Here is a 25,234-nt window from a genome sequence, read left to right as displayed (position 1 = left end):
GTCATGCTTGACTTCCATCTTTCTTGAGATGGAGTCTCACTCTGTTGCCAGGCCGGACTGCAGTGGTACCATTTCAGCTCACTGCAACCTCCACCTCACGTGTTCAAGCAATTCTCCTGCCTCAGCCTCCCAAGTAGCTGGGACTACAGGTGCATGCCACCACGCCTGGCTAATTTTTCTATTTTTAGTAGAGACAGGGTTTCACCATGTTGGCCAGGATGGTCTCAATCTCTTGACCTCGTGATCCACCTGCCTTAGCCTCCCAAAGTGCTGGGATTACAGGCATAAGCCACTGCGCCCATCCCCATCTTTCTCTTAAATTTTACATTCAGTCTGTCAAGAAATGCAATCCCTTCCACCATTCACACATGGCCAAAGTTAATCATAGTTCTCACCTTTTTGACACAATAGCATCCTAACTGGTCTCTCTTCTTCCTTACTTGCTCCCTAGCGGTCTATCTCACCATAGGTGCCCACTGAAGGGAGAGCAAAAAGCTAATGTTATTCTGATGGTGTACAAAGTTCCAAGAGCCTGCCTTTCCCCTACCCTTGGCCTTCCCTCCACTCCTTGCCATTAACTCTCAGAATTCCTGTCCTGTTGCTTTTTCCCATGCTCATTTCACTCCAGCCACTCAGGTCTCTCTGCTGTCCCCCAAGTGCCCCAGGAATGCTCCTGCCCTGGGGCCTTCGTACTGGCTATGCCCTCTGTCTAGAGCTCTCTTTACAGAGGTCAGCCTGACATGCTCCTTTCCCTTCCTTAATTTCTGCTCAGATGTCACCATCCTATGGAGGTCTTTTCTGAAAACCACATTCAAGATTACAACCACCCCATGTCAACAATTCAGTGTCCCTCATCCTGCTCTGTTCTTTTCCTTGACAATACTTACCAATTCCCAACTTTCCTTGACAATACTTATCAATTCCCAACATACCATTTAATTCACTTATTGATTACACTTATTGCTTATCATTGGCCTTCCTCCATTTCAATGCAAGCTCCATGAAGACAGGGATTTTTGTTGGTTTTGCTAAAGCATGCATCACAAATACCCAGGAGAGATTTGGCATGCAATTAATGCTCAATAAATGTGTTGAAAAATGAATGGTGAATCAGAAAAAAAAAAAAGAGCTAGAAAGAGAACTTGTGAATAGCAGAAATCACATTACGTAAAACAAAAGAAAATCAGCCTATTCTGATTTTTGACTATAGGTCTTGCCTTACAATGTTTTTCTTCTTTCTAGAACTTCTCTGTGATCTCATTGTACTTTCTCCTTCAAAATAACTAAACATTCACAGTACTCCCCTTGAGCATGGAGGTAAAAACACACACCTTTACTCTTTGGGGCTAATGAATATCTCTGGAGGGCAGGGGTTTCCTCTAATCCAGGAGTTTTCAACAAATAAGAGGTGGCACTCCAGCAAACTTGAACTCTTCCAGTAAGCAAATATGAAAACATTATTTTCTCATTGCTAGGTCAGGATTTTTTTCCCTTAACAATAAAACTTAACTGGCTTTCATGGTGTTAGGTTTGTGTCAAAACTTAAAGTACTTGGAAGAAGTGAACTGATTACTCACATATAGAAAATGACAAATGGTAGCACAGAAAACTAGTTTCCTGGAATAATAACATAACTGGGTGTATTAAAGGCCAGAGGCATGAATCAATTGACTAAGCCAAATAATTCTCTTAACCTAAGTCACCCTTTCTATTGTTAAAGATCAGATAGCTCAAGATGTGCAATTACAAACCTAATGCTTTTTTAAACAAAGAAAACTGATCAATTTCTTCTTTTTTCTTTGTTGAACTGACAAGCATGACTCATTCAATTGAGATAAAGGCAAACATTAGGAAATTGACCCAAATAGTTTCTGAAGCAGCACTCTACTCTAAGTAAGGCAGCAAACCCACTTGAGACATTCAAAATTACATTGTACTTATCAGCCTGTCATACTAAGCATCGGATGAGAAAGATGAAGATGGCTAATAAAAAAGAATGAAAGGATGATGCCATACAAGAGTGAAAAAAATCAACTTATTTAAGAAAAGAAAGTTAAAGTCTTAAAGTCTTACTTTCTCCTGAGTTCTAACTATTGGTTTAACTATCTCAAAAGATTACAATTTTTTCATATGTCTATATTTATACTTCTGTAAAATGTCTGTATAGGTCTTTTACCCAATTTTCTACCAGATCATTTATCTTTTCTTACTGAATCATAGATAATATCTATATTTTATAAATATTAAAAAATAGTTATGTATCAATTCTCTTCTTCCAATTGATTACTTATATTTTCATCTGCATTACGTATCTTTAGATGGACAGAGATTCTTTGTTTTAACATGGTTAATTAACACGGTTATAGAAGAATTCTCCATGATCCCAGAGCAGGAAAAGGATTTTTTAAAGCAATATATAAAAAGAAAAAAAAATAAATGCTGTTCTTTTTATATATTGCTTTAAAAAGCCCTTTCCTGCTCTGGGATCATGGAGATATTCTCCTATATTTTCTTCTAAACATTTTAAGTATTTGTTTTTCACAGTTATGTCTTTGCTCTGTCTGGGACTGATCTTTGTATATGGCAGTATATAGGAATCCTCATTGCTTTTTTCCTACAGTTAAGTCTCCCAGCAGCATTTATTGAATAGCTCTGCCATACATCAGGTTTTCAAATACACTTGGTTCTGTCTCTGGACTTTTATTCTGCCCCATCTATCTGTTCTATATCCTATACCAATACCACACCATTTTCATCAGTGTAGCTGTATACTAATTCTTGCTCTCTGGTAGACCAGTTCACCACCTCCATTGCCACATGCTTCATCTTCTCAAGGAGCATCTTGACTATTCATCAATCTTTGCTCTTTCATACAAACTTTAAAGTCAGCTTGTCAAATTCCACAAAATTCCGATTAGGATTTTGACTTAGTTGCTTTGAATCTATAGGTCAATTAGGGGAAAACTGACATCTTTATGATACTGACTCTACCTATCCATGAACATAATATATTGATTGATTCGGGTCTTCCATAATTCTTCCAACAAAATTGCACATCTGTCGTTAGAATTGTTCCTGGCATTTTACATTCTTGTTGCTGTTGTAAATGATACCAACATTTTCACTGAATTTTCTAACTCTTAATACTCTACATAAAATGGGATTCCATTTTTAAAATATTGATCATGTATTTAGATGGGCTATTTCTCAGCCTTTCTTGTAGTTAGGTGTAGCCGTATGTTGGAGTTCCGGAAAATGAATATGGATGGAAGTGAAAAAAGCCGCCTTCAGCCTATGTCATATAAACTCCCCATGTGATCTTTCATGCTTTCTTCCCCTGTCTACCAGCTAGTGTTTGATACTCAGCATGATCTTGGAAATTGTATATTGTGACCATCTGTTTTCCTGGGCCCCTAAATGGCCACAGTGCACAGAAGCCCTACATACCACCTATACACTCTCTTACCAATTAGGAACACTTGTGTTAAGCTATTTATTTAAACAAGAAATAAACCTAGAATGTTTTAAGCCATTGAAATTTAAAAATTTGTAACAATTATGTGGTTCAGATCTATTCTCTTACTGATTGTCTGCTTATCTTAACATTTACAAAGAGAGTATGTGAAAACCTCTCTAAGATTTTTTTTATTTCTCCTTATTTCGTGTAAATTTTTATTTTATATATTTCAAAACTATGTTAATAGGAACATTCAAGATTAGAATGTTAAAACTTCCTGATTATTTCAAACTTTTATCAATGGTGATTCTCTTCGTCTCTAGAAATGATTTATGCCTTAATATTTTACTTGGTCAGACATTAATACAGTCATGCCAGCTTTGGCAGAGGGATAATATTTAAATGGTATTTATTACCTTTTTCCATATTTGACCTACAATCTGTGTCTTTATGTTTTGGCTATGTTTTTCATAGATAGTAGACAAACCAGCTTTAGATGTTTCTATCAAGCTTAAGAGTTTTTGTCTTTTAAGAGTTTCATTTATATTACTCGTAATTACAAATAGCCCATCTTATTTTTTACTTTCTATTTGCCTTGTTTTCCACAACTCCTTCTTGCTTTCTTTTGGATAGACTGAGGGCTTTAATACCCTTTATCCTTGTTTTATTTTTTCTCTATACTTCTTTTGTAATTATTTCACCACATTTCTATTAGTTGCTCTGGAGATTTTAGTATTATTGATTAGATTTACAAAGTCCAAAGTTAATTAATATGAAACAAGACCAGAACCTTAGAACCTTTTTTACTCCACTCATCACCTTCTCAACTGTTGCCCAGGATTTTAGTTCTATTTTATTTGTTTAACCCCATCAAGCCTGATTTTTCTAAGAACTTATTCTAATAATTATTATTTTGTACAAGCTCTGCATAGATTAACTATCTTAAGCACTCATGTATTAGCATGAGCTCTTAAGTGAACATTTCATAAACCAAAGATGAACAAAAAGTAAATTAAGAAAAGAAGTGAAAAAATACAAAAATGATGTAGTATCAGATTGGCTCCCATTTCACAAATGGCTTTAAGAAGTAACCATCCTGTGGAATAGTGCATGGAAAAGGGGAAAAAGAGAAAATTTATATACTCAGCTGTTTCTGGTTTTTTGTTTTTGTTTTTTGTTTTTTGTTTATTTGAGATGAAGTTTCACTCTTGTCACCCAGGCTGGAGTGCAGTGGCACAATCTCGGCTCACTGCAACCTCCACCTCCCGGCTTCAAGCAATTCTTGTGCCTCAGCCTCCCGAGTAGCAGAGATTACAGGTGACCGCCATCATGCCCGGCTAATTTTCTGTATTTTTAATAGAGACCGTGTTTCGCCATGTTAGGCAGGCTGGTCTTAAACTTCTGACATCAGGTGATCCGCCTGGCTCCGCCTCCCAAAGTGCTGGGATTACAGGCGTGAGTCACCGCACCTGGCCATACTCAGCTGTTTTATGTCTCTTGTTTATAGTAGCTTAACTTTACCCTAATGGAAATTAATTCCCCCTGCACTTCCAAATTTCTCATCTGGCCCTAAGAGTAACACCTTAGGATGCAGATTCTACACCCTGTCATGCAGAATTTTATCCAAGTCTGGAAGTGGTGGAAATAGCCAAAGACACCAGGCATACAGCTGGTTATTCTGGTGGCACAACAGCATCCAAGAAGGGTAAGTCATTAGCTGTCTCCAAGCAGTGGAACTACACAAGCCAGAAAGAAATACATAGGATGTAGCAGCTGTGAATGTGTACCTAAGTTGTATTTATTTTCTAATCTACCTGGTCAAGTTTGATAGCATTGTTTCTCACATTATACTTCCATACAATCTTTTAATTTCATAAACATATTAAACACAGTTATTTTATGATTGTAATATCCACAATCATTGCATGTCTGTTTCTGTGGTCTTCTGTTTTGCTGATACAAGGATTTGTTCCCTATTTATTGTTTTTATCATAAATTTATGTTCCTTGGCACCCCTTTTGTGGAAATTCTTTGAGGTCTAGGCTGATGATAAATTTCTTCAAGCAGAATTTGTGTTTATTTCTTACAGGTGCATTAAACGCCAATAACCTGGGACCACTTTAAACTACATTTTCAACTTAGAGCTTTTGGGATCATACATATAGTGTGAATTCCAGCCTCATGCTCCCAGGGGATTTTTCTTTTTCTAGCTTGCCTAGAGCCAAAGCTAAAAAAGATATATTTATACATACCCACTATCTCCCTAGATGAAGTGAGTTTTGTTTTTCTGTTTTGTCAACTAACACTGCCACTTCTGGAAACACTGTGCTATGGGCAAAGAAGGAGTCTCCAATCAGACTTCATACCCTGATCCTGACCTTTTCCTTTTGTTTTCCACAGATATGGTTACTAAACACACATTCTAGACCACCCAGAATGAACAAATAACCTACAGCAAGTGCAAGCTCCAATGCTGGCTCAGCCATTTCAATTCATCTTTCTCCTGATTTCTTGCTTCAGATTAAATCTTTTACTTTCCTGACAGCATAGACATGCAAAAATGTTTTTTCCATATATCCATCATAAATTTTTATCAGAAAAGGGTTCTATGGACATCTAATTTGCTGCCATATAAATGGCATTTTAACTGATATGCCAGCCAAGATTCAAAATCTCAGGAAAAAATCTACAATTGACCTGGTTTGTGTGGCATGCCCACTCCTTGTTCAGAAGAAAGTGAGGTCCCTTAGTTAACAATTCTACCATATCCAATAAGGGGTAAATATTCAAAACAATATCAGCAGTTATTATGAGGAGAAGAGGAAATAGAGCCTGTTCAGTCAAAAAAAAAAAAGAGGAGGATGAAAGGCATTTCATTGGCTGTAATGATATTTATTAGTACATAATAAAATAAGTGCATTTTTTGAGTCAGAGAGACCTGGTAATGAAATCCTGGCTATAAGACTATCTATGTAACTACATTCATTTTCTATTGCTACCATAACAAATTTCACACTTAGTAGCTTAAAGCAACACAAATTTATTATATTAAAGTTCTGTAAGTCAGAAATGTAATTCATGTGTCTGAGCTAAATCCAAGGTGTCCACGGGGCTGCATTCATCTCTGGAAACCCTAGAGGACAAGCTGTTTCCAGGACTTTTTCAGCCTCTAGGGACAACCACATTGATTGGCTTATGGCCCTCTTCGTCTATTTTCAAAGCCAGCAATGTTGCATATTTCTGACCTCCTCCTCTCTTCACATCTCTCTATAACCACAGCTGGAAAAGTTTTTCACTTTTAAGGACTCATGTGATTAGATTGGGGCCACATGGATAAGCCAGGCTAATCTCTCCATTTTAAGATCCTTAACCTTAATCACATCATCAAAATCCTTTTTTCCATGTAAGTTAACATATTCATAGGTTCTGGAAATTAAGATGTAGACATCTTAGCAAAGACCTACAACAGTAACTTTAGCAGGGTTAAATAAATGTTTCCTAGTCTGTTTTCTCATCTGTAAAATGGAAGTAATTATACCAGTGCTCACAGAAGTGGGAATATCATGGGTGAATAGTAGTGGGCATTTCATAAATACTTATTAAATGAAAGAATAAATACGTACATTGTGTGCTTGTTGAGAGTATTAAATGAGATAATATTAGTAAAATATCTAAATACAGTGCTTAGAACATAGACTCACTCAAAAATCGCCTGTTCCTATTGTATATATGGCACCATTCTGGATGCTTTAAAGAAATAATCAAAGTGCATAGTCCATAAAGCTTTAGAATTTTAGAAAAATGATGTAAACATGAAAACTCACTGAAGACAGTTTGCAGTATTAACCAGCAAAATATTATTTTTAAAAGCACCCAACTACATAGAAACACATATAGACCAATGGAACAGAAAAGAGAGCCAAGAAATAAATCCACACATTTATGGTCAACTGATCTTCAACAAGGATGTCAGGAACACACAATGGAGAAAGGATCGTTTCTTCAATAAATGGTGTTGGAGAAACTGGACATTCACATGCCAAAGAATGAAAATGGACCTTTATCTTATACCGCACACAAAAGTCAACTCAAAAGGTATAAAAGACTTAAATGTAAGACCTGAAACTATGAAACTGCTAGAAGAAAACATAGGAGAAAAGCTTCTTGACATTGGTCTTGGCAAAGATTTTTTTGGCCATGACACCAAAGCACAGGCAACACAGCAAAAATAGACAAGTGGGATTCCATCAAACTAAAAAGCTTCTGCACAGCAAAAAAATAAAAAATAAAAAAATAAACTAAAAATAAATAAATAACAGAGTTAAAGGCAACTTAATGGGAGAAAGTATTTGCAGACCATATATCTGACAAGAGTTAATACTCAAAATATATAAGGAATTCATACAACTCAATAGCAAAAAAACAAAAAAAACTAATTTTAAAATGAGCAAAAGGTCTAACTAGACATTTTTCTGAAGAAGACATACAAATAGCCAGTAGTTACACAAAAAGCTGTATGGAGATTCTTCAAAAAATTAAAAATACAACTACCATATGATCCAGCAATTCCACTTCTGGGTGTGTAAGGATTCTTCAAAAAGTTCATGGGAAATGAATATTTTGAAAAAATTACGCAAGGATTTCAAAATTATTTTGCACCAAAATAAACTTGTACTAGCTCATTATAACATATCTGAACAGGATCTCATTTGAGACACTAAGAAGGATAATAATCAGTTTGAAAACAGCCCCTATGACAGCAACATGATTTCTGCTAAAATCTAACCAGAACAAACATCAAGTTTATGGTGAAGTTTTGGTGGGAGAATGGTAAAATCACTGCGGCTTTATGAAAAGTTTATGGGATCAATTCCCCAAAGAAATCAGCAGTTTACAAATGGGTACCTTGTTTTAAAAAGGGATTAATTGTTGTTGAAGTGAATGGTTGCTCTCAGCAAACCATCCACTTCAATTTTTGAGGAAAAAAATCATCCTGTTCATGCCTTAACTGAAGATGACTGATGATTAACAGTAGAAACAATAGCCAACACCAGAGACATCTCAACTGGTTCAGCTTACACAATTCTGACTGAAACATTTAAATTAAACTTTCCACTTAATGAGAGTCAAAACCAACTGTTGTACCCAGATCAGCTGCAGACAAGAGCAGACTTTCCAATGGAAATGTTAAACAAGTGGTGTCAACATTCTTAAACATTTATTTGAAAAGTTATAACAGTAAATGAACCACGGCTTTACTAGTACAATCTTGAAGGCAAAGCACAATCAAAGCAATGCTACCAAGAGGTAGATGTGGTCCAGCGAAAGCAAAAGGACCAGTCAAGAGCAAAGGTCATGGCAACAGTTTTTTGGGACGCTCAAAGCATTTTGCTGGTTGACTTTCCAGAGGGCCAAAGAATGGCAACACTTGCTTATTATGAGAGTGTTTTGAGAAAGTTAGCCAAAGTTTTAGCAGTAAAACACCCAGAAAGCTTCACCAGAGTCCTTCTCCACCATGGCAATGCTCCTGCTCATTCCTCTCATCAAACAAGGACAATTTTACAAGCATTTCTGTGAGAAATATTAGGCAGCTACCTTACAGTCCTGATTTAGCCAAAGTCCTTCTGAATTCTTTTGCTTCCTAATCTTAAAGCAAATCTATAAAAAGCACCTATTTTCTTTAGTTAATAATCTAAAAATCCACATTGACATGGTTTAATTCCCAGGACCCTCAGTTCTTTAGGGATGGACTAAACAGCTGGCATCATCGCTTACAAAAATGTCTTGAACTTGATAGTGTGTATGTTGAGAAAAAAGTTTACATTTTTATTTTTATCTCTTAGTTTCATTTTTCCATGAACTTTATGAAGTCCCCTCATATATCCAAAGGAAATTAAATCAGGATCTCAAAGAGATATCTATACCCCATGTTCATTGAAGCATTATTCACAATAACCAAAATATGGAAACAACCTAAATGCCAGTTGACAGATGAGTGGATAGAGAAAATGTGGTGTGCGTGCGTGTGTGTGTGTGTGTGTACACACAATATAATATTATTCTGCCTTTAAAAAGAATGAAATCCCACCATTTGTGACAACATGAACCTGGAGGATGTTATGCTAAGTGAAATAATCCAGACACAGAAAGACACTTCAGGATCTCACTTATATGTGGAATCTAAAATAGTCAAACTCACAGAAGCAGAGAGTAGAATGGTGGTTGCCAGGGACTGTGGAATGGGGAGATGTTGGTCAAACGGCATGCAATTTCAGTTATGCAAGATGAATGAGTTTTGGAGATCTAATGTACAGCATGGTGACTACAGTTAATAATACCGTATTGTATGCTGAAATTTGCAAAGAGGGTAGATTTTAAGTGTTCTCAATACACACACACACACACACACACACACACACAAAATGGTAACTATGTGAGGTGATGGATATCTTAATTAACTTGATTGTGATAATCATTTCACCATGTGTACACATATCAAAACATCGAGTTGTACACCTTAAATATATACAATTCTTGTCAATCATACCTCGATAAAGCTAAAAAAATAAATAAATAAATAAATAAATAAATAAATAAATAAATAAAGCACGCAGCTATGTGTTGAACTCCAGTTTAAACTAAACTAATGCTATTCATGCATAAATATGTTAGCATATGGCCAGGCACTGTGGCTCTCACCTGTAATCCCAGCACTTTGGGAGGCCCAGATGGGTTGATCACTTGAGGTCAGGGGTTTGAGACCAGCCTGGCCAACATAGTGAAACCCTAACTCTACTAAAAATATAAAAATTAGCTGGGCATGCTGGTGGATGCCTGTAATCCCAGCTATTTGAGAGGCTGAGGCAGGAGAATCGCTTGAATCCAGGAGGCGGAGGTTGCAGTGAGCCAAGATTGAACCAGGCCACTACACTCCAGCTGGAACAACAGAGCAAGACTCAGTCTCAAAACAAAGAAAAAACAATGTTAGCAACGAATTTGCTTTGGCTTATCTCATAAGGCAAAATACTAACAACTGAGCATGTCTCTCAGGTTCACCATCTGCCTAATGTTAATGTTAATGATACAAAGTCCCTTGCTTGAGACTAAATACTCTTTTTTCCATTGGGTTAAGCAACTGCCACAGATGAAAGAAAATTATCCTGGTAGGTTCCATTCTGACATCTCTCCAACCCTCTTGGCTACCGTATGCTTCTCTGAGCTTAAAAAACATCATGATATTAAACAGAATTATGTTCTCTATGACCAAATGAGAGCTTATTCCGAATGATCTCCCAGTGACTAGCTATCTTCCTAACTGTGGATTGATGCTATCTCTCAATCTATTCCAGAAAGCAAAATCATTGTTCCTTGACATAAATTTCAATGCGGTTTTGTTGATCTCCATTCACGTGGTATGATTGTTATCACTTGCCAATTCATTTAATTCTAAACATTCAAATATTCAAAACATTTCAGAGCACACTCTATGGACCAGAAACTCTCTTAAATACACCAGACAGGTTTTTGCTCTCAAAACAATGAAGTCTAATTGAGTATCCAGGTATATTTTTTATCTATAATATAAATCAGAGTGTGAAAAATTCTTAAACAACATATACTTTAAGATTAGAGAGAAGGTGGTGATTCTTAGTTTGTTTTTTAAAATTCCCATCATAATCATTCTATGTGCCACCCCGAGTTTGGATATTTCTAATCAAATAGCCTGGGAGTTTCAAGATGTATGAGTCAAACACAGGAGGAGATATGATATTTACAGTCTGTAAATAAATAAATGTATAATTAATTGTGCTAAGCAATTATTAAATTAAATAGAGCTATCTAGTAGAGTAAATGGCAAACCTATTTAATTTTAATTCTCTTTCCATTCATCTTAATTGTATAAGGTGTCATATATAGAAACATAGCTCTGTGATATTTCATCATCTGTTTCCTCATACACTTTCCCCATGGCCTCCTATAAGGTGGTGACAATTCCAGAGAATCAGATGTACCCTGACATTCTGAATTTTTTTCAATCTAGGTAAGGAAACAACAGCCCACTCTATCGGTCATGATAGTCTGGTTTATGCTATTGTAATAACCTCAAAATCACAGGCCCCAAAATCATAGAGGCTTACTTGGACACACCCTCATCATCTTCACTGAGGGGTGCAGGCTGATGAGGCCTCCCCCATCTGGAACATCGCCAATCAGTGGAACATGGCTTAAGACACTTGGAAATTCCCAGTTTTGTTCCAACAGACTTCTGCCAGAAAAGACTCTCAGCACTTCAGCTATCTTTCTATTGGCCACGTCGAATCACAGATCTATGTCTAACTTCAATGCCTGGAATGTGTCTGGAAGGCAGGCAGAATGATTGGTGAACATCCTTCATGACTATGGCCATTTTCCAGTTAGAATTAGCTTCCACATAGAGTTACGTACCCTCTCTCTGATGCTGTGCTTTTTACTCTTTCAACTATCTACATCCTTCAGAATCCTCATTTAAGATGCTCCTCTCCAAACACATTAAGACTTGACTTCCTAAGCTGCTAACCTCTAGAATGCTTCTGTACCTATTTAGACACCATAATTTATATATATATCATAATGTCTTATGCATAAATGCAGACTTGCTGTTCAGGTCAAATAAAATCCAAACAGTGTTGGCACTTAGTCATAAAGCTCCTATTATATTTAAGGAAAGCATTCATTGACAGTTTGACATATTATCATATTTTACTTCCTAATAGTATCAGCTAAGAATTCAGAGGACGTAGAGAGCAAGGGCACAGCCCTGTTGGAAACTGGAATTCAAGCTGAGCCAAAATGGACTTCCTGAATTCACAGGGTGAGTCTGCAACACAGTCTCCCAATCACTGAGCATTAAGATGATTTTTACATGTTTTTCTTCTAAAGAGAAGGTCAAAGCACTATCCTAAAGATTAAAACTACACTTCACCTCCAAAAAGCTAGTTTTTAAAATGATACAGAAGTAATTAACATGGTGATAACAGCATAAATAGACTTACTCAACTATGGGATCTAATACCACACATAGAAAGTGATAACCCTTCAGTAATTTTATGGAAGTTCTCAGGGATGATCAAGAATTTTACACAACACCGGGCGCGGTGGCTCACATGTGTAATCTCAGGACTTTGGAAGGCCAAGTCAGGCAGATCACTTGAGGCTAGGAGTTCAAGAACAGCCTGGCCAACATGAAATCCTATCTCTACTAAAAATACAAAAATTCTCGACTTGGTGGCAGGCACCTGTAGTCCCAGCTATTCAGGAGGCCAAAGTATGAGAATGGCTTGAACCCAGGAGGCAGAGTTTGCAGTGAGCTGAGATCATTCCACTGCACTTCATCCTGAGAGACAGAGTGAGATCTTGTCTCAAAAAAAAAAAGAATATTACATGAAGTATTCAAGGAGTTTTAACTCTCATATTCTGAACTCTCCCCTCCAAGAGATACATTCTTCTGTTTCCATTTATTTTGTTTCATTTCTTTTACTGCTAAAGATAGTTTGTGGGGGCTCTATTCAGGTGTAAACTAGCATAATTGTGCTATGGAAAACCCAAACTCGATGAAGATCAATGAATAACAGAGGAAGAATATTGCATACTGACCAAAAGTCAGTGTTAATGGAGCACAACATTTAACAATTGATGAAATACCTAGTACTTCCGCTTCTAATAGCTTTGTTTGTTTGTTTGATTGATTGATTGGGGGAAGGAAGGTTACACTTTCTTGGAAACTTAGATAAGCCTCACAGAAACAGCTGGGAATTTAGCACTGCTAGCAACACAACAAAATGGACACTCGAAAGCTAAAAGGCAAGTTGGGTCAGTTGGATGGAGACGCCCACCAGGAAGGTTGGGGATGGGGAAACAGGATGTTTCAGACAGAGAAATTAGCACATGCAAGGTAGCAGAAGTAACAGGATGAGTGAGCATTATATGTACAAGTATCTGAAAGAAGTTCAGGAAGGCCAATTGCAGAGAGATAAGAGGTAAGAGAGGGGTGTTGAGTTCAGACCTTGCACAGCTTTTTAAACTTTAGCCAAGAATTTAGACTTAATTCAAATTGCAAAGAAAACCTCTAAAGGATGTTAAGCAGAGACATGGCATGATTAGGATCCTTGTTATGTTGTTGCTTAATGTAAAAACAACACAAATTTAAAATAGTCATGCTCTAACTTGTTCCATTTTCATTAGGAGAAACTGATTGTGTCTGGAGTTGCATTTGAAATCCCATCTTGGCTTAAGAGGCACTTTTCCCCATCTACTGGGAGTCTGAGTGTATGCCATCCCATCAGGAGAGGAAAGCCATGATGCAGTTAACTTCACAATTGCACAACTTGCCACGTAACTGCCAATGCTCCCTTCACAGTATTCGTGTTGACCTAGTTTTAGCTGCACAGTTTATAACAGTGATAATTTCATTTGGTCTTCCCTCCACAACGTCAGTTTGTTTGCATTGCTTTTATTTCCTTGGTATTTTCTGTTCTGTTAGGATTTTTTAAGTTTAAATTGCTAACCATTGAATATCCTATGTGGAATCCAGTAGTAAGCATACTCTTAAAAGAACATAACCATTATAAAAGAAATTAACAAGAGCAGACACACAACTGTATGACAGTGATTAAGGCAGAGAAAATGATTTACTTGTATATGCTAAGGTAACCAATGTTATCCTGATGTTAACTATTAAAATCATCAACTGTTGGATCCATTTAACAAAATTTGTCATTCTAGTATAAAATGAGTGCCCATTTGGGGTTTTAGTGATGCATAGAAATATCTGTCATTTTTAAATAACGGTAATTACATCTTTTTATTTTCTAGATTATGCACACTGCTTTCGGGAAATTTTATCAGGCAGATGGTAAAAGATGTTCCTTTGCCAGGATTTCCCAGTGGCCACACTGTTGACATGATTCGGGCCAGATCATTGTTGTGGGGCTTTCCTGTGCACTGGAGAATGTTTAGCAGCATCCCAGGTCTCTACCCACGAGATGCCAGTAGCACCTTGCCCTAGTCATGACAATCAGAAATGCCTTCAGATCTTGCCTAATAGCCCCAGTTTTCTGAGAACCACTGCCCCAAACCAGCTCAGTGACTGATGCAGTAGCTACAATAGGTGGCTTTACTGCAGGAGTGGCTGCAGGAATGGAGCTGAGTCAGGTACACTGAGGAGTATTTTGGAGGAAGGGACATCTGGATCGGTGACTGATAGGATGTGGGAGATACTAGAGAAAAGGAAATGAGGTTGACGGTGAGGTTTATACCATGAGCAACTGCATGGTGCCATCTACTGAGCTAAAAGAATAAGAGGAGAAGTAGGATGGCAGATATCAAAATCATGAATGTAATTTATTCATGTTGATTTCAGATATCCAAGGCATACCAAAATCAAGAATTTTGTTAATAATGCAAACGTTTGGGACAATTTTTTTGTTGTTTATCGACTTTTTATTTTTGTTGTCTATTTAACAGCAAGTACTTTATTCTAGATAGATGGCAATTTTTAAATTTATATTAGGAAACAACCATGCCACGAGCAAATGTTTTTGTCAGGGCTCTTTTAAATGTATAAATGGGCCAGGTGTGGTGGCTCATGCCTGTAATCCCAGCACTTTGGGAGGCAGAGGTGGGCGGATCACCTGAGGTCAGGAGTTCAAGACCAGCCTGGCCAACATGGCAAAACCCCATCTCTACTAAAAATACAAAAATTAGCCAAGCATGGTGGTGGGCACCTGTAATCCTAGCTCTTTGGGAGGCTGAGGCAGGAGAATTGCTTGAACCCAGGAGGTGAAGGTTGCAGTGAGCCGAGATCATGCCATTGCACTCCAGCCTGGGCAAGAAGAGCGAAACTCTGTCACCAAAAAAAAAAAAAAAAAAGTATAAATGAACACTAGTATCTTTTTTCTTTTTATTCTGAATGAATTTCAAACTTACAGAAATATTGCAAGAATAGTGCAAAGAATTCCCGTGTACCCTTTACCCAGATCACCAGTACTGAATATTTTGCTAAATGTGACTTTTTGTTTTTGAAAAAATGTCAGACTTACAGAAAAATTTCAGGAATAGTACAGAGAATTCTTGTTTACTTGTCTGTAGTTTCCCTCAATCTTATGAGTTTACTTGCTTTATCCTTTTCTCTATTAATGTGCATATTTTTTTCTGAGACATTTGTAAGTAAGTTACAGGCATGATGTTCCTTTACTCCTAAATGAACCATGTGTATTTTCTAAAAGCAAACTCAGTTATAAAAGTCAGGAAATTAACATGGTTGTTGTTATAATACTATCATCTTATCTATAGACCTTACTCTAATTTTTGCCCATTCTTTTAATTTTGTCCTTTATAGCCAAAGAAGATTAAATTTAGATCCAGGATCCAGTTTGGGAACTGCATTTTCTTCTCATGCCTGATCTTGGTGTCTTTAAGTATACATCATTTTGTTTGTTTGTTTGTTTGTTTGTTTTTTACTTTTATTTTAGGTTCAAAGGTACACGTTCAGATTTGTTATACTGGTAAACTCATGTCACGGGAATTTGGTGTACAGATTATTTCATCACCCAGGTACTAAGCCTATGCCCAATAGTTATTTTTTCTGATCCTCTCCCTCCTCCCACCCTCCATCCTTAAGTAGGCCCCAGTGTGTGTTGTTCCCCTCTGTGTCCATGATTTCTCATCATTTAGCTCCCACTTATAAGTGAGAACATGTGGTATTTGGCTTTCTGTTCCTGAGTTAGTTTGCTAAGGATAGTGGCCTCCAGCTCCAACCATGTTTCTGCAAAAGACATGATGTCGTTCTTTGTTATGGTGTATATGTACCATATACATATCCATATAGCCGGGCATGGGGGCACAGCAGTCTGTGGTTCTAGCTACTCAAGAGGCTGAGGCAGAAGAATCGCTTGAACCTGGAAGGCGGAGGTTGCAGTGAACTGAGATTGTGCCACTGCACTCCAGCCTAGGTGACAAAAGCGAAACTCTGTCTCCAAAAAAAAGAAGAAGAAGAAAAGGGAAAGAAAAAAGAAAACACAGTGTCTTCCTTCTCAATGCCAGCTTCCTGGGTGCTGCTGTTGTCACAGCATCCCAACTCCTTAATTTTCTCACAGTCTACCTGAATGCCAGTGTATGTTCCCACAAGAGAGCAATCAAGTTGTATTTGTAAAAAGCCAGGGAGGGAGGGCATTGTTCTTTATGTCCCTAAGCCTTCATCCTTCCACCCTCAGATTTCTTTTCTTTATCCAACTGGGATATTTTCTTTATCCAACTGGGACAATAATTTTAATGTCCAATTTTACTGTCATGATTCCTAATCTATTTGCTAGGACTTGCTTACTCAGATTCTATCTCTAGATTTCCTCCTCCATCAACTCTGCAACTGTGAACATGACTGAGAATTTCATTTTCAGCCCTTTTCTCCATATGCTTTTTTCCAACCTTAGATCTCAAATATCATTACCATGCATAACATTATAACCCCTCTATTAATGAATATTATAACATTAATTCTTTATGTAAAAAAATTGCTAAAACATCATGCACTTGAAAATCTAAATCTTTCTGAATTTTCTTCAAGTTATATCCACAAACTAGAATTCCCTTTCCTCTTCCTCTTCCTCTTCCTCTTCCTTCCAGGTGGTGAAACCCATTTATCTTCTTCAGATCTAATTCAAATGCCACATTCCCTGTGGAGTTCACTATCCTATCTGTGAGAAATTAGTAACTCCTTCCACTGTTCTCTGGCAGCCCTGACATAGGCCCTTCCATCACAGCACCTAACACCATCAGAGCTAGAGTAAAACAACTTTGTATATAGCATGCCTAGTAAATTATGAGCATCTTGAGGGATAGAAACTGACTTGTTCATCTTCATAAGTGTCCCATGAGGCCTGGAAAATTATCTGAATGTATATGCTTTTAATAGATATTTGTTAAATTAAAATAAGGGAATAGATAAGCCTCTGGGGTAATCTGAACGGGTGACTTTGAAGAACTAGTGCTAGCTAGTAGAATAAGGGAAAAGCAGGGTTGTCAGGGTACCCAACTCATTAAATGACTGTTACCAAAACAGGTGTTTACTCCAACAGAGCATAAGACTCTATTAGAGTAAATTAACTAGTGGCCTAATTCACTGTTAAGAAGCTAAGAAGCCAAAAACAACTCTTCTAACTTTCCTCAATGGGTTACTGTATGTGACTGAGAAGCTTCAAAACAAACTGGCTGGGCACAGTGGCTCATGCCTGTAATCCCAACAATTTGGGAGGCCAAGGAGGGAGGATCGCTTGATGCCAGGAATTTGAGGCCAGCCTGGGCAACATAACAAGACCCTGTCTCTACAAAACACAAAAAATTAGCTGGGTGTGATGGTGCACTCCTGTAGTCCCAGTTACTTGCAAGGCTGAGGCGGGAGGATTGCTTGAACCCAGGAGTTCAAGGCTGCAGTGAGCTACAATCATGCCATTGCCCTCCAGCTTGGACAACAGAGCAAGATCCTATCTCAAAAATAAATACATACATAATAAAAACAAACAAAACTAAGGGCTGCAAAGAACTAAAAAACAAAGTGCTCCATCAAAGTTGCTCCCTACCCTAGCCTGAATATTTGTGCCCCCAAAATTCAGTTGAAATCCTAACCCCCTATGTAATGATACCACAAGGTAGGGCCTGGCCTCTAGGAGGTCATGAGGTTGGAGGCTTTATGAATAGGATTGGTTCCCTTCATGAAGGAGACCCCAAAATGCTCCCTGGCCTACTGTACCATGTTAGGACACAGAAAAGACAACAGTCTATAAACCAGGAAGCAGGCCCTCACTAGACAACTGAATCTGCTAGCGCCTTGATCTTGGACTTCCCAACCTCCAAAACTGTGAGAAATCAATTTCTGTGGTTTATGAGCCAAGCAGTCTGTGGTATTCTGATAGCAGTCCAAATGGACAAATATACTCCCCTAATGCAGAGGAGCACCATGATGAGGAAACAAATAAGACTTCATTCTCTACTGACCATCCTATTAGAAAATATATTGTTGGCCAGGTGCGGTTGCTCATGCCTACAATCCCAGCACTTTGGGAGGCCGAGGCAGGTGGATAGCCTGAGGTCAGGAGTTTGAGACCAGCCTGGCCAGTAGAGACTGGTGAAACCCCATCTCTACTAAAAGTACAAAAAATTAGCCGGGCATGGGGGCACAGCAGTCTGTGCTTCTAGCAACTCAGGAGGCTGAGGCAGAAGAATTGCTTTAACCCGGAAGGTGGAGATTGCAATGAACCAAGATTGTGCCATTGCACTCCAGCCTGGGCGACCAAAGCGAAACTCTGTCTCAAAAAAAAAAAAAAGAAAAGAAAAAGAAAATACAGTGTCTTCCTTCTCAGTGCCAGCTTCCTAGGTGCTGCTGCTGTCACAGGATCCCAACTCCTTGCTTAATTTTCTCACAGTCTACCTGAATGCCAGTGTATATTCCCACAAGAGAGCAATCAAGTTCTATTTGTAAAAAGCCGGGGAGGGAAGGCACTGTTCTTTATGTCCCTAAGCCTTCATCCTTCAACCCTCAGATAAAACTATTCAAGGGAAGAAAGTGAAAGGATCCACCCTGTGCTCTCAAGTGCAAAGTAATCACAGAAAAATACACTTACCTAAAGTTGCTGAATGACACAAGTCTGTTAGATGCTATTGCTTATTTTTAGGTGTTGCCACGATACATCTAAATACAAGCACAGTACCTTGCAAGAAGCTGTGATGTGGTAGAAAGAGCGGTGATCTCAGAAATGTAAGGTGAGTGGCTTCTGAATCACAGCTAAGATGAGAATCACACAGCCCATCTCACGTGGAAATGGGGTAACAGATGTGATGGCACCTTTTGGTCCTAGAGCCCAATCTAAATGTTAAGAATCACTACAACAACTTTTGTTGCCTTCCTGAAAATTAAATAGTAATCACAAAGTTGTGGTAGAGAAACAGACTATTTTATATTGGTCTTGTACCAGATAGAACGTCAAATTCCTGAACCTCTAGTAATTCCTAAATGTCAAAATCCTTAAACATGAAAAAAATGTACAGTGTATGAATTCAATAAGTGTATCAATTGCAATTACATTTATTTGAAAAAAAAACCAACCTATCATATTGGTAAGTAGAATATACTTTCTGTCCTTTTGGGGCCCCTGGGGGTTGTTAATTTTCTGAAAAATTGAAGGATGCATACTTATTTTATCAATTAAAAAATATGAAATCACATAAGTATGGTAGTTCTTGCTTTTTTTTTTTTTTCTTTTTTGAGACAGGTTCTCACCCTGTCGCCCAGTCTCAAGTGCAGTGACATGATCTTGGCTCACTGCAGCCTCAACCTCCTGGGCTCAAGTGATCCTCCCACCTCAGCCTTCTAAGTAGCTGAGAGTACAGGCACATAGCACCACACCCCACTAATTTTGTTTTTTTGTTGTTGTTTGTTTGTTTTTTTTGTTTGTTTTTTTTTTAGAGACAAGGTTTCACTCTGTTTCCCAGGATGGTCTTGAATTCCTGGGCTCAAGCGATCCTCCTGCCTTGGCTTCCCAAAGTGCTGGGATTATAGACGTGAGCCACTGTGCCCAGCCAATTCTTGCATTCTTAACAATAAATTAGGCCTCCTGATCTTTTTTATTCTAATAACATCCATTGCTAAGTATTACCAAAGATCAAGTTGAAAGGCAAGTCATGTTATTCAATAAATAGGAAGACCCGCTCCTACCTTATTCTGTTACTGGCAATTGCATCTGCCTATTACATAATCATATCACCTGGCACACACTAAGCACAAATCATTTGTCAGAAACGATTTGAAGTTTTCCACACATATTAACTCATTTGTATTTTATGTACTAACTGTGAACAGTTTTCTATTTTAACTAACTTGGAATAATTTTCTTTTTATGACTTTATATTTTGTCTACAATTTTGCCATCCTGAGAGCGAATGAGAAATGTTTTCACCTACCATCAAAAGGGAGTTCCATTCAGCAAAGGAGACAGTCAGCAGAGTAATAAGGCAACCTTCCAAATGGAGGAAAATATTTGCAAACCACATATCTGATAAGGGGTTGATTTCCAAAATATATAAGGAATTCCTAAAACTCAATAGCAAAAATAATAATAATAAATTTAAAAATGGGCAAAGGATTTGAATAGACATTTCTCCAAAGAAGACATGCAAATGACCAAAAGGTATATGAAAGATGCTCAACATTGCTAATTATCAGGGAAATCTAAGTTAAAATGACAATGAGGGCCAGGCACAGTGGCTCATGCCTGTAATCCCAGCACTTCGGGAGACCAAGGCAGGCAGATCACCTGAGGTCAGGAGTTCGAGACAAGCCTAGCTAACATGGTGAAACCTTGTTTCTACTAAAAATACAAAAATTAGCCAGGTACAGTGGTGCATGCCTGAAGTCCCAGCTACTTGATAGTCTGAGGAAGGAGAACCGCTTGAATCTGGGAGGTGGAGGCTGCAGTGAGCTGAGATCATGCCACTGTACTCCAGCCTGGGTGACAGAGCAAGACCCCATCTCGAAAAAAAAAAAAAAGACAATGAGATATTACCTCATATCTCTTAGGATGGTTATTATCAAAAATAATAATAATAAGTGTTGGTGAGGTGGCAGAGAAATTGGAACCCTTGTACACTGTTGGGTGGAATATAAAATGGTGCAGCCACTATCAAAAACAGTGTGAAGGATGCTCAAATAACTAAAAACAGAACTACTATACTATCCAGCAATCCCATTTCGGGGTATATCCAAAACAATTGAAATCAGGATCTCAAAAAGATACCTACATTCCCATGCTTATTGCAACATTATTCACAATAGCCAAGATTTGAGGGATGAATAGATAAAGAAAATGTGGTATATCCATACAATGGAATATTATTCAGCCTTATAAAAGGAAATCCTACCTCTGGTGACAACATGGATGGACCTAGAAGGGATTATTCTAAGGAAGTCAGTGATGGAAGGTTGAATACATGATTCCTCTTATAGGAGATATCTAATATCATCAAAGATAAAGAAGTAGACAGTAGAATCATGGAGATGGGGGAAGGGGATATGAGAAGCTGTCATTCAATGGGTATAAAATTACAGTTAGGCCACACATGTTGGCTCACGCCTGTAATCCCAACACTTCAGGAGGCCAAGGCAGGAGATCACTTGAGCCCAGGAATTGAGGACCAGCCTGAGCAACATATGGAGACTTTATCTCTACAAAAAAAATTTTAACTTGTCAGGCATGGTGGTGCACACCTATGGTCCCAAATACTTGGCAAGCTGAGGCAAGAAGAATACTTGAGCCCAGAAGATCCAGGCTGCATTGAGCTGTGTTGACACCACTGCACTACAGCTTGGGCAACAGAGTAAGACTCTGTCTCAAGAAACAAACAAATAAATAAAGTTACAGTTATACTGGATAAGTAAGTTCCTCAGATCTGCTGTATGACAAAGTACCTGTAGTTAACAATAAGGTATTGTGCACTTAAAATTTTGCTGGCTATCCATGTGCAGAAAATTGAAACTAGACCCCTTTCTCACACCTTATACAAAATTAACTCAAGATAGACTAAAGACTTACATGTAAAACCCAAAACTTTTTAAAAACCCTAGAAGAAAATCTAGGCAGTACCCTTCAGGACATAGTCATGGGCAAAGATTTTATGATGATATTGCCAAAAGCAATTGTAACAAAAGAAAAATTTACAATTGGGATCTAAGCAAACTAAAGAACTATTGTAAAGCAAAAGAAACTATCATCAGAGTGAACAGGCAACCTACAGAGTGGGAAAAAAAATTTTGCAATCTATCCATCTGACAAAGGTCTAATATCCAGAATCACAAGGAACTCAAACAAATTTACAAGAAAAAAACAACACCATCAAAAAGTGGGCAAAGGAGATGAACAGACACTTCTCAAAAGAAGACATTCATGCAGCCAACAAACATGAAAAAAAGTTCAACATCACTGATCATTAGAGAAATGCAAATCAAAACCACAGTGAGATACCATCTCATGCCAGTCAGAACAGCCATTATTAAAAAGTCAGGAAACAACAGATGCTGGTGAGGTTGTGGAGAAATAAGAACGCTTTTACACTATTGGTGGGAATGTAAATTAGTTCAACCATCGTGGAAGACAGCGTGGCAATTCCTCAGAGATCTAGAACCAGAAATACCATCTGACCCAGCAATTCCATTACTGGGTATACACCCAGGGGAATATAAGACATTCTATTACAAAGATACATGCACACATTATGTTCATTGCAGCACTATTCACAATAGCAAGGACATGGAATCAACTCAAATGCCTATCAATAATATACTGTGTAAAGAAAATGTGGTACATATACACCATGGAATACTATGAAGCCATAAAAAGGAATGAGATCATGTCCTTTGCAGGGACATGGATGAAGCTGAAAGCCATTATCTTCAGCAAACTAATGCAGGAACAGAAAACCAAACACCTCATGTTCTTACTTCTAAGTGGGAGCTGAACAATGAGAACACATGGACACAGGGAGGGGAAAAACACACACTGGGGCCTGTTGGGGGAAAGGGGAGTTGGGGGGAAAGTACTAGGAAAAATAGTTAATGCATGCTGGGCTTAATACCTAGGTGATGGGTTGATAGGTGCAGCAAACCACCATGGCACACGTTTACCTATGTAACAAACCTGCACATCCTGCACATGCACCCCAGAACTAAAAATAAAATAAAATAAAATTTTATTAAGAGCATAGAGCTCATGTTAAGTATTCTTACACACAAAAAAGGGAGGATTTACCAGGAAACTTTTGGAGGTGATAGATATGTTTATCACCTGGATTGTGGTGGTGGCAACATGAGTGTATACATAGTCCAAATTCACCAAATGGCATAATTAATTATGTGCAGTTTTTTAAATACCAGTTATACCTCAATAAAGCTGGAAAAAATAAAGTCACAAGGTAATGTATCAAAAGGTAATAGAATGTTAAGTGGCACTGACATTAATAAAAAGGGACCATTTGTTTGCAAAAGTAATAACACTTTTATCCAAAGCCATGGCCTAAGTAACCTAGCATGCATTCACTGCCTACTGGATTTTTTTCTGAACATGCTTGATTGCATGATTACAATTTAAAAATGGCAAATTGAGCATATGTCATTATCTGTGAATAAACTGTCAAGTTGGTTGACTGACAAAAAAGAGAGTTCCACCCCAGTACAGTGAAATGACATATATTTATGTCAAGAACTCTAAAGAACTCCAAGTTTATTTCAAGTTTTATCTATAAGAATAAAAAGAGGCTAGGCGTGGTGGCTCACACTTGTAATCCCAGCACTTTGGGAGGCCGAGGAGGGTGGATCACGAGGTCAGGAGTTTGAGACCAGCCCGGCTAAGATGGTAAAACCCCATCTCTACTAAAAATACAAAAATTAGCCGGGCATGGTGGCCGGTGCCTCTAATTTCAGCTACTCGGGAGGCTGAGGCAGGAGAATCGCTTGAACCCAGGAGGTGGAGGTTGCAGTGAGCCGAGATCGTGCCACTGCACTCTAACCTGAGCAACAGAGCAAGACTCTGTCTGAAAAAAAAATAATAAAATAAAAAATAAAAATAAAAAGAGTGGGTGGGCGCAGTGGCTCACACCTATAGTCCTAGCACTTTGGGAAGCCAAGGCAGGTGGATCAGGAGTTTGAGACCAGCCTGGCCAACAGGGTGAAACCCTGTCTCTACTAAAAATATAAAAATTAGCTGAGTGTTGTGGTGCATGCCTGTAATCCCAGCTACTCAGGAGGCTGAGGCATGAGAATCACTTGAACCCAAGAGGCAGAGGCTACATTGAGTGGAGATTGTGCCACTGCCCACTGCACTCCAGCCTGGGCAACAGAGCGAGACTGTGCCTTAATAAATTAATTAATTAAAAAGTGTAATTTATCCCCATTATAGTAAATAGGTTAGTCAATTGAGCTAAAAATATTATATAATTACTGAATTCAAATTTTCAAAGGAAAATTTAAGAATGGATATCTTTATATGAACAGACAAAAATATATACTACTTCTAATTAATGTTTCAAGATAGTAATCATTTTTTCTCCAAAAAATTGAAACTCTATAAGGAACTCTATCGCTAAAATTCCAAGTACATAATTTCCATCAGATATAATTGTCTAAGACATATCTCTACTGAGATTAATCAGAGAGACAAATTGAAAAGAAGTGGGCAAATGCAGATGGTTTAAAATATCCACCAAACCCAAGAAGCGAATTCTACACCCACATGAAAAACATCTCATTTCAAATACAAAACTGAAAAGCTCAGATCAGTGCATTTAAAGGACTCACCACACCTGCAGGCTTATGACAGTCACCTGCTCACTGCTTACTGGCTTCTGACCATCAATGACAAAGTGGGCAGAAGCATCCCAAAGCCCCACTTTCCCTCCCTGCAGGAAGGCTGCTGTAAAGAGGAAGCTGGAGATGTTTCTCGAAGCCAGGCAGCCAGTAACAAAGGCACGAAGCACTTGGCAAATGCTGTGCCTAGCAAGTTACATGTCATTATCTCAATTCTTTCAATGTCACCCATGAAATACTAGTTACAATCACTCTCTATATTTCACATTGGAGAAACACAGGCTTAGATGGGTCAAATACTTTATCAAAGGTCTCACAGTAAGGGACAAAGAACAAAATCAAATGCAAGTCTGTCTGATACCAAAGTCCACTTTCTTAACCACAACACTAGCCTA

The 25,234-nt window shown here is 38.0% G+C and overlaps 1 long non-coding RNA gene across 1 annotated transcript in view, besides 1 other annotated feature; it reads right to left on the bottom strand.

Annotated features, from left to right (window-relative positions):
• LOC101929492 (uncharacterized) overlaps window positions 1–25,234 on the bottom strand; it is a 126,333-nt gene that overhangs the window by 87,301 nt on the left and 13,798 nt on the right. The gene's annotated exons all lie outside the window — the stretch shown is intronic.
• Window positions 4,518–5,717: an enhancer, noted in NCBI's record as "BRD4-independent group 4 enhancer chr8:31165622-31166821 (GRCh37/hg19 assembly coordinates)". NCBI's record gives its function as "activates an origin of replication core promoter dependent on BRD2, P300/CBP, MED14 and CDK7 cofactors, and independent of BRD4, by STARR-seq in HCT116 cells {active_cell/tissue: HCT116}" and the evidence as "EXISTENCE:reporter gene assay evidence [ECO:0000049][PMID:35650434]".

The sequence above is a fragment of the Homo sapiens genome, chromosome 8 (assembly GCF_000001405.40).
Source record: "Homo sapiens chromosome 8, GRCh38.p14 Primary Assembly".
NCBI classification, from domain to species: Eukaryota; Metazoa; Chordata; class Mammalia; order Primates; family Hominidae; genus Homo; species Homo sapiens.
The sequence above is the reverse complement of the archived record's forward strand: the minus strand, read 5'-3'. Positions and strand labels throughout refer to the sequence as shown.